The sequence below is a fragment of the Homo sapiens genome, chromosome 11 (genome assembly GCF_000001405.40).
Source record: "Homo sapiens chromosome 11, GRCh38.p14 Primary Assembly".
NCBI lineage: Eukaryota > Metazoa > Chordata > Mammalia > Primates > Hominidae > Homo > Homo sapiens.
Window position 1 is genome coordinate 33813548 of NC_000011.10, and position 10882 is coordinate 33824429.

At 45.4% G+C, this 10882-nt stretch overlaps 1 long non-coding RNA gene across 1 annotated transcript; it reads right to left on the reverse strand.

The window, feature by feature from the left end:
• Positions 1-593: 593 nt before the first annotated feature.
• Positions 594-8827, reverse strand: LINC02721 (long intergenic non-protein coding RNA 2721). The gene is made up of 3 exons (NR_183773.1): positions 8447-8827; positions 6243-6357; positions 594-1420 (listed from the first exon to the last, which is right to left on the reverse strand). It is a non-coding gene; the product is annotated as a long intergenic non-protein coding RNA 2721 (long non-coding RNA).
• Between the last annotated feature and the right edge of the window lie 2055 nt (positions 8828-10882).

Consider the following 10882-nt stretch of genomic DNA (forward strand, 5'->3'; position numbering starts at 1 on the left):
AGTCTCGCTCTGTCACCCAGGCTGGAGTGCAATGGCACCATCTCGGCTCACTGCAACTTCTGCCTCCCGGGTTCAAGCAATTCTCCTGCCTCAGCCTCCCGAGTAGCTGGGATTACAGGCGCCTGCCATCATGCCTGGCTAATTTTTGTATTTTTGTAGAGACAAGGTTTCATTATATTGGCAAGGCTGCTCTTGAACTCCTGACCTCAGGTGATCCACCTGCCTCTGCCTCTCAAAGTGCTGGGATTACAGGCATAAGCCACCACGCCTGGCCTGAAAATGAAATTTTTAAATGCCATTTATAACAGCACCCAAAACTATGAAATATATTCAGTGAAATTTTAATGAAATATGTGCAAACATGTACACCAAAAACTATAACATAATGTTGAAGGAAAATGGAGATATATACTGGATTTATGAATCGGAAAATTCAATATCATTAAATGGCATTTCTTCCCCAATTGAGTTATGTATTCTGTGCAAACCTAGCAGGCTTGTTTTCTTTTAGAAGTTGGCAAGCTGAAATTTATATAAAATATGACCTTTGTGCCATAGAATAGCTCAAACAATTTTGGAAAAGAACAAAAAGCTGAAGGATATAATTTATTGAAAGACTTAATATAAACATGGAGCAATCACATAATTATTGTAGATATAAGTAGAGAAATGTAAACTAATACAACAATAAAGCATCTAGAATTAGATCCACTTATGTATGGTCAATTTATTTTTTTCAGTTAAGGTGCCAACAGGGGAAATGGTGTTTTCAACCGATAGTGTGGTAAAAATGGGATATCAATTTGGGGGGAAAATTGAATCTCAACTCTTATCTCACGTCATACAGAAAAGTTGACTTAAAATGGGTCATAGAACTAAATATAAGGCTAAGGTTATCAAACTTCTAGAAGAAAATATAGGAGAAAATATTGTAGCCTTTGGATAGGCAAATGTTTCTTGTATAAGAATAAGAAGCATGAACCATACAAAAAAAAAGTTGAGAAGTTAGACTTCATTTAAATCAAACATTTCTCTTCTCCCAACACTCCATTAAGAAAATGAAATGGCAAGTTATGGCCTGGGAGAAAATATTTGCAATATGTACATCTGCATAGGGCTTGTACCTAGAATTTATAAAGTACTCATCCAACTCAGTAAGAAGACAAACCACCCAATACAAAAATGGGCATGATAAGAAGAATTTTAAGCTCTTGAAGCAGAAGAGAAGCTCTCCTGTTGGCCTGGAAACGAGCCACCATGAGTTCTATAGCGGCAGAGAAATGAATTCTGCAGACAACCACCTGTGCTTGGAAGAAGACCTGAGTCTCAGATCACACTGTAGCCCAGGCTGACACCTTGATTGCAGCCTTGTGAGACTTGGAGCGGAAGAGCCAGCTGAGCCACGGCTTGCCTATGGAAACTGAGAGACAGTAAGTGGACTTTAGTTTTTGGTTTAGGCTGACAAATGTGTGGTGATATGTAGAAAACTATAACAATACAATAAGCAAAAGATATGCATATACTTCATAAAACAAGATATATGGATAGCCAATAAACACAAGAGGTTCAACATCAGTCACCAGAGAAATGCAAATTAAAACCAAAATGAAAATACCTCCACACACAAACACAAAATAGAAGGGCTAACGTTAGGGGGAAAAACCTGACAATACCAAGTGTGGTATCTGGAATTCTCATAGACTGCCATTGAAATGTAAAGTGGTACCACCACTTTGAAGAAGTTTGGAAGTTTCTCATAAAATTATACATATCACATAGCTCAGTTATTCCACTTGTATTTACTCGAGAGAAATGGTAACATATGTCCACACAAAGACTCATCGATGAATGTTCACTGCACTTTTTATTCATAATAGCCAAAAAGTAGAAACCACACAATTGTACACCAATAGGCAAATGAATAAACAAACTGTGCTGTATCCATACAAGGGAATACTACTCAGTGATGGGAAACCTTTGGAGGGTGATGGGAATTTATATAATGTGATGGCTATGGTGGTGACTCCACAGGTGTATACATTTGTCAAACTCATCTAACTTCACATCTTAAATGGGTGCATTTTATACACAAATTATACCTCTGTCGAGTTGACTTTTAAAAGTTCACCATCCCAGGATGATTTGCTCAGAAATGATCCCACAGAGAGGGAAAAACTAATGATGCAGGTGGATAGAGGTCAATTGCAGGAGGGATGTCCTTGAATAGGAAGTAGGGTGGGGTCCAGTGCTTAAGAGGAAGAATGGCTACTAATAAAATCTGGGGTAGTTTACATGTTTTCTCAGCTAAACAGGAAGCAATGTAGTGGCTGAGAGTAAGGAGAGTCAGGGCTGTTGGAGGTATGAGAAGAGATAAAAAGGTGTGAAAGTCATTTTAGAGAGTGGAGAGGAAAAATCGTCCCTAGGTCTGCCACCCACTCCTTCCCGCTCTCTGACACACCCCATTCACCTTGGAACTCTTGATCTCACATTCCTTTTCCCCATCACTGTTTTATTTGAGCAGCATGAAGAGGCAGCAGTGTCTGCTTAGAACCTTAGACTTGGTACCTTAGATTGTTACAACCTTAGATTGTAACAACCTTAGATTGTTACAGAAACTCCAGGCCACATGACCTGAGACTTTGCAGGGCCGGGCCAAGCCAGAAGCCCGCAGGGTGGGGCTCCAGTCTCTGTCCCTGCACAGTGCTCATGGTACCCTGAGAAGCTTCTGCTTCACTTCCCAGGTCTGCAACTCTCAGAGGTGTGGGGCTTTGAGAAAGCAATGGGCTCCCAGAAAGCAGCCTGATATTGAGGGGTCTAGCAAGCAGGTGGGGGCTTGGGAAGTTCATGAGAGAGATTTCCATAAGTGGAATGATGAGGGTGATGGGGGGCCTGGAAGTGCAAGGGCCCCTCATGACCAGAACTAAGAGGAGGGAATTGGCCTGGCAGGCATGGGGACGGGACAGAAGGCCACACTGCCTGGGGCCTGAGACCAGAGAGAAGTCTTGGTGCTCAGATGCGGTTCTTGCTCTGCTCCTCTGGGTCTTCAACAGTGGCTCTGCAGAGAAGTCAGCTTTGATGCGAGCACTGCTTCCTAGCTCTTAAAAGCACTCAGGACTTAGTTCTCCTATGCCCTGAATCTCTGCTTCTACCTGCCCCTGTCCCCCACCCCAGTCCAGCAGTTCCTGGACTAGAATCTTCCTGTGGCTCAGCCTGTGGACTTGGGTTTCCCCAGAGCTATCAAGTGTATGTGTAGCCAGGGCATCCAACAGGCTGACTTGAGCAGAATACCCAGCCTGGTCTCCCTGTCAGAAGGATGCCAGCTCCAGCCTCAGCCATTGGGACCAGCTCTTCCACCAAGGGGACTTTATAGACATCTGTCACTTCTTCAACTTTGATTCCTGTTGTGTCTCACCCTTAAGGGACTCTTACTTGGGTCTTACCTGGACTCAGATATGTACCATCTGCATTCCCTGGTGTCTGCATGGACACTCAACCTGCCAGAGTCAACTCTGAGATTTGTGGTTTTGACAAACAGTATTCACCACTAAGGAAGGTCACCTCAACTTAGAGCCTAAGAAAGAAATGTCTGCTTGTTTCTAGGAGCCATTTAGATAGTTATGGAGCTAGAACGTTACAAAAATCTAATGCTTTTAAATAAAAATTTTCTAATATTTTTAAGCTCCCTAAAGAATTACTGGTTCACAAAGAAGCCTGCAAACCACAGGACCACGGTCATGAGGTAGGGAGAGACTGGGGCCCCGTTGACCTCTCTGCTCTGTGGCCCTCGACAGGATGGAAGGAGCAGTGAAGTTTAAAAGAGTTACCGTTTGTCAACTGACATCACTTTCACTCAAATGACATCTCTGCTTGGTGCTCATTGTGTAGAGGTGGTGCATGGAACCAGAGTAAAACAGATGGCAGCTCTGCTGGCCTGGTGCATCCCAGGAGAAGTGGGAGCTGCAGTGAATCTCCCCAAGTTTCACCCAAAGTCCCCTCACCCCTCCCAGGTGAGAAGCAGCCAGGTGACACATTCCTAGCCTTATGTTAGTTGCATATCTTCTTTCTGATGCAGACAGGGAGACAGGACAGGGAAGAGCAGCATAGAGCACAGTCATTGTGGGTCCCCTAACACTGCCCACTCAGAATAACAAGGCGCTAATGAACCCTTCTTCAAAATGCCATCACTCCCAAAGAGCATGTTAAATATGTGAATTAGTATCAGGGGAGTCATTCATTGTCAAACCCTAGGGAATTTGCATATTTAGCTGATCCCTGGGAACTGGGCAGAGGTGGTTGGTACCGATATCCAGACCTCAGGCACCTTCTCTGATGATCAGAGATGGAGCTTTCCTACCATAACTTTGCTGCACGCTGGGGTCCTGGATCCTTCCAGGAATGTGAAGCAGAGGAGAAGGTATGAAATAGTTATCCGCAGTAGTGGGAGAGTGAATGGGCCAGACAGCACCAGAGCCTCACTGGACTGACTTGAGGTTAAAGGCCATGAATTTGGCCATCAAAGTGGAGGGTTTTTTTGTTTTTTTTTGTTTTTTTTCCAGCCATGGTCAGCCATGCTTCTGAAGGTGGGAGTAGTAGGCAAAGAGTTGATCTTGGCTGGGCTTGCCGTTTACTGAGTAAGCCCAAAGAAGGGAGCTGTGAGTGTATGGCAAAGATTGATTATAACAAAGGGCCATGGAACTTAAACAGCATGCAATATGAAAAGATGTGAAGATAAATTCAGGTTGGATTCCCGACCTGTGAGTTGTGTGATGTTAGAAAAATTCCCTAAGTTCTCCAACTCTCTTTCCTCATCTGCGAGGCATCAAAGCACCCGCTTCCATGGGGTCGTTATGAGCATAAAGGATGAAGTCTGGGGGCAAGTGCTTCCAGTCTGTAAGGTGCCCTGGAAATGGTGGGTATGGCTTGGGGGTGTGAGTGTGGCATTACAGGCGGTTCGTGTGCACGAATGTTGACTGGAGCATCCCCAGGCAGCACTGAGCTGGGGTCTGAGCTCCTGTGGTCACTCCGCTTTCCCTGGCTCCTCTCCTCCTGCAAAGCCACCTGGAGCTACCCCCTCCCTGGGAGGCCCTCATGGGCATCTCAGATGTTCTCACAAACACATCTGCTCTTGCTCAGCTTGGCTGCTGCTGCAATGGACCCCCCAGGTACTTTTCTGCTCTTCTAGTCAAAAGGCCAGCGATCAGAGCCTGGCCTTATGGCCCCTCAGGATGAAGTGGGGATGGAGTTCCTCCCAGGCACCTCCTCAGACTTCCATCAACAGGTTCAGAAAGGTCTGCCCAAACCCCTCAGGCTCTGTGCAGAGACACCTGCAGGGCTACCCCACCGTCCTCCAGGCCTACTTCTCTGTCTGTACGTGCCTTTGAATTGCAGGGCAGGAGTCATGCCTTTGCATGTGGCCAGCCAAGCCTCAGCTTCCTGTCACCTCCTCTCCTGCACCTAAGGTGCAGAGTCCTATGGACAAAAACCATCAAAAATGACCCTCTTCTGCCCCTGTGGAGTGACAGGCTCCAAGCCCACCCCCTGCACCTCCTGGTGCTCTCACCTAGGTCCCCCCCGGCTCTTCCCACCTGTACAGCAGCTATTTATTACCTCAGACCTCCACCCCAGCGCCTTTCCCCCTTCCCCTGCCCAAGGTGGATCACTGCACATGAATCCGGACTTCTCAGAGACGTGTGTCCACTAACTATCCCCTCCCTCTTTCAGGGTTGCACCCCTCTCTGTGGGTGCCTTCCCACAGTGTCTCAATAAGCTCCAGACAATTCCATCAGTGTCTCAAGCTCACGTAATAAGCTCAAGTCTTGTCCACCTTAAAAATCAAAACCAAACCTCGACCTTTTCATTTCACCCAGCAGAGCAGTCTTCCTGTTCCTGGGGCGATGAGACAGACTCACCCACGCAGCACCCGGAGTTGGGACTTCAATTTATGCTGACACCTCCCAAGTCATTGACTCCTTCCCACATCTCTTCCAAACCACCATCCTACAGGCTGGTTGCCTGCTGGATGTGACTGCACAGACATCTTGCACGCACATCAAAACCTGGTTTCAAAACCAGGTTTCTCCCCTTTCCTCACATAAAAGCACCCCATCATACTTTCCCCAGCATGACCCTCTCGCTGGTGTACACCATCGTCCTCACCATTGCCAAGACCCCCAAGCCCTTCTCTGGATTATTTCGTGAGCCTGCCATCCCACTCTGTGATTGCTGCCGAGGTCCCCTCTCACCTGGCCTGTCGGCCGCAGCGTCCTTGTGCCCTCCTTCCTCAGCCAGGGGCACGCTCAATCCCATCCTGCAGTGCAGAGGAAACAGGCAGCTCTCCAAATCCCATCAGGCCTCTCCCTGCTCAAAAGACATCGATGGCCCTTCAGCCACATAAGGATAAAGTGCAAGCTGCCACCTCTCCACACCCGCAGTCTGTGCTCCAGGGGCTGAGAACACCATTCAGCTCCTGGAAGGTATTGTGCCCTGCTCCTCCAGTCGCTTGCAGAAGCCGCTTGCCCTGCCTAACACTCTCACCTCCGCTCCTCCCTCTGCCCCTTCCTGCAGCCCTGAACTTAGATCTCACTTTTGCACTGGGACTCCTCCTCAGGACTTCCACGGCCTCATTCACATCACCAGTTACAGCATCATTCCCGCCTTAACTGCCAGTTCACCTGCCAGTCTCTCCCACAGCCTGTGAGCCACATCGGCGAAGACGGCATCTCTTGTTTTGTGTAATTTTGACTCTCTGGTTAGTCCCAACAATTTGTGGAGTGCCTGCGTGGGTGTGTGGATGGCTGGAGCTCAGGCTGGTCTGATCCCCAGCAGGGACCCAACTTGCTTTCTCTAAGACACCCCGCAGCCCTTGCACAAATGTTCTGGTTTCCAGTCGAATGTGCCCTTCCAGCTCACCAGACACCTGTGCCAAGGTGGAGTTCAGCTTTTCTTCCCACAGAGTGAGCAGGGGCATGTGGCCACCCTTTACTTACTTTGATACAGTAATGGACTCCCTCCCATTGTAGCCATTCTCTTCCTTTTGTCCAAAACAAATTTCCTTCTGATGTGGCCCAATTTCAGCACTTCTCACTCCCCCAAGGCCCTTTTTCCATCAGTTATACCCCCAGCCTCTTCTCCTTCTCCATTTCCACCCTGCTTGAAAACATGTCCTGCATGCCCCTCTGAAAAAACTCCTAGGTGACCCTTTCATGCCCCCAAGTTGTTGCCTTATTCCTTACTTTTTTTTTTTTTTTTTTGAGATGGAGTCTGGCTCTTGTTGCCCAGGCTGGAGTGCAATGGCGTGATCTCGGCTGACGGCAACCTCTGCCTCTCAGGTTCAAGTGATTCTCCTGCCTCAGCCTCCCCAGTAGCTGGGATTACAGTCATGCACCACCACGCCTGGCTAATTTTGTATTTTTAGTAGAGATGGATTTTTCTCCATGTTGGTCAGGCTGGTCTTGAACTCCCGACCTCAGGTAATCCACCCACCTCAGCTTCCCAAAGTGCTGGGATTACAGGCTTGAGCCACCATGCCCGGCCCCTCATTCTTGACCAGAGGTCTCAAGATGAGTGACCTACATCTGCCACATCGTTTCTTCTTTGCCCACTTGATCTGCACAGCTGGCTACAGCCCCACACTGCCAGGGCCAGCCTGTTCCTTCCCCTCATGCTGCTGGGTGGCTCCTAAAGGGCAGTGTGGGTGCATGGGTTGTAGGACTGTACAGTCGTAGATTCAAATTCCAGCTGTGCATGTGTCTGGCTAAGCCACCTGGTGCTGGTCACTTTCTGTTTATGAGCCTCGGTTTCCTCATCCGTAAACTTGGGCAGATAGTAGTTCCTCGCACAGAGTTGCATAGAATTAATGAAATAATGCATTCATGTGCACACTATGTGTTCCCCATGGTCATCCTGACCCCGTTCTACTTCTTAAAGCCCTCTCCGTACTAGAACTTCAGTGACGCTGCACTAGCTCAGTGTGGCTTACAGCCTCTCTTTTGTCCCTCTTAACGCACTGAGGCCGGCTAACATTGATGGAACCCTTCCTATGAACCAAGCAACATCCCGCCATTTTACTTTATCAATTTATGTAGCTTTTGCTATAGATACTATAATAGTACCCACTTAACAGATGGAGGTATTAAGGCACAGGGAAGGTGATAATGACCCAGGAACACACAAGCAACAAGGGACAGAACAAATCCCGGCAGTTTGGCTCAAGCCCCCATGCTGTCTCCAGTTCTCTGAGTGATCCAGGGTCTTTGGCTTCTCTTTCCTCCTCAAGCAACTCTCTCTTTCCCTGATCATTTATTCACACAACTTGGTGCGTTTATTTCATAAATCTCAGTGCCCGACTCACTTCGCCCTTCTCAGTTTGCCCTAAACCCCCCAGACTGGCTGGCCACCTCCTCCTGACGCCCTGCCTTCATCTCAGGTCCAGAGAACCCAAACTTACGTTAAGCTCCTTCCTGTCTTTGAGGAATGTGATTCTGCAGCTCTATCAGCAAATTTCACTCAGCCCTACGAGGCAGTTTCTTGTGAGCTTGCCTGTGTCCTGTATTAGACAAGCTACCAGAAGACAAGACCCTGTCCTTGTGTGCCAATCTCTGCCTCCGGCATTGTAAAGGCAGATGAAACTCTCTCTCAGATCATATTCCCTTCCCATTTCTGTTTCTGCTCAGGGAGCTATTATGTGTACTTTCTTCCTGCCTCTGAAATTCTTCCCTTGCCTCATGCCACCTGACATCCGTCTCTCACATCCCATCCCCTCTGGTCAGGGCTGACTTCCAACCTTCTCAGATTCCTCACAGTTCCCCCATTCCAACTGCCAACTGTCACCCTGGCCCCAGCCTGTCACTGCTTGACCATCATGATGGCCACCCTACCTTCCCCTTATTTTTATTTTTTAATTTTTGTGGGTACATTATAGGTGTCCCCCCATATATGTATTTACAAGGTCAGGAGATGTTTTGATACAGGCATGCAGTGAGTTACGATCACATCATGGAGAATGGGGTATCCATCCCCACAAGCACTTATCCTTTGTGTTCCAAACAGTCTATTTATGCTCTTTCAGTTATTTTTAAATGTACAATTAAATTATTATTGACTCTAGTCACCCTGTTGTGCTATCAAATACTAGGTCTTATTCATTCTTTTAAACTATTTTATGTACCCATTAACCATCCCTACCTACCCTTCACACCCTCAGTATCCTTCCTAGCCTCTGGTAATTATCCTTCTACTTTCTATCTCCATGAATTCAATTTTTTTTTTATTTTTAGATCTCACAAATAAGTGAGAACATGTGATGTTTGTTTTTCTGTGCCTTGTTTATTTCATTTAACATAATGATCTCCAGTTCCATCCATGTTGTTGCAAATGACTGGATCTCATTCTTTTTTATGGCTGAATAGTACTCAATTGTGTATATGTACCACATTTTCTTTATCCGTTCATCTGTTGATGGACACTTAGGTTGCTTCCAAATCTTGGCTACTGTGAACAGTGCAACAACAAACATGACAGTGCAGATATCTCTTTAATATACTGATTTCCTTTCTTTGGGGTATATACCTAGCAGTGGGATTGATGAATCATATGGTAGCTCTATTTTTAGTTTTTTGAGGAAGCTTCAAACTGTTCTCCATAGTGATTGTACTAATGTACATTCCCACCAACAGTATACGGGGGTTCCCTTTTCTCCACATCCTCACCAGCATTTGTTATTGTCTGTCTTTTGTATAAAAGCCATTTTAACTGGGGTGAGATAACATCTCATTGTAGTCTTGATTTGCATTTCTCTGATGATTAATGATGTTGAGCACGTTTTCATATGCCTGTTTGCCATTTGTATGTCTTTTTTCGAGAAATGTCTATTCACATCTTTTGCCCATTTTTGATCAGATTATTAGATTTTTTTTTCTCCAGAGTTGTTTGAGCTTCTTATATATTCTGGTTATTAATCCCTTGTCAGATGGGTAGTTTGCAAATATTTTCTCCCATTCTGTGGGTTATCTCTTCACTTTGTTGATTGTTTCATTTGCTGTGCAGAAGGTTTTTAACTTGACGTGATCCCATTTGTCCATTTTTGCTTTGGTTGTCTGTGCTTGTGGAGTATTGCTCCAGAAATTTTTGCCCAGACCAATGTCCTGGAGATTTTCCCCAATGTTTTCTTATAGTAGTTTCATAGTTTCAGGTCTTAGATTTAAGTCTTTAATCCATTTTGATTTGATTTTTGTATATGGAAGGAGAAATGGGTCTAGTTTCAGCCTTCTGCCTATGGATATCCAGCTTTCCCAGCATCATTCACTGAAAAGAGTGTCTTTTCCCCAGTGTATGTTCTTGGGGCCTTTGTCAAAAATGAGTTCAATGTAGGTGTGTGGATTTGTTTCTGGGCTCTCTATTCTATTCGACTGGTCTATGTGTCTGTTTTTATGCCAGTGCCATGTTGTTTTGGTTACTATAGCTCTGCAGTATAATATGAAGTCAGGTAATGTGATTCCTCCAGTTTTGTTCTTTATCTCAGAACAGCTTTGGCATTCTGGGTATTTTGTGGTTCCATATAAACTTTAGGATGTTTTTTTTTTTTTTTCTATTTCAGTGAAGAATGTCTTGAAATAGACATTATTGGGTATTTTAATAGGGATTGCATTGAATCTATAGATTGCTTTTGATAGCATGGACATTTTAATGATATTGATTCTTCCAATACATGAACATGGAATATCTTTCCATTTTTGGGGTATTCTTCAATTTCTTTCATCAATGCTTCATGGTTTTCATTACAGAGATCTTTCACTTGTTTGGTTAATTCCTAGGTATTTAGTTTTATGTGTGGCTATTGTAATGGGATTACTTTTTAAATTTCTTTTTCAGATTGTTCACTGTT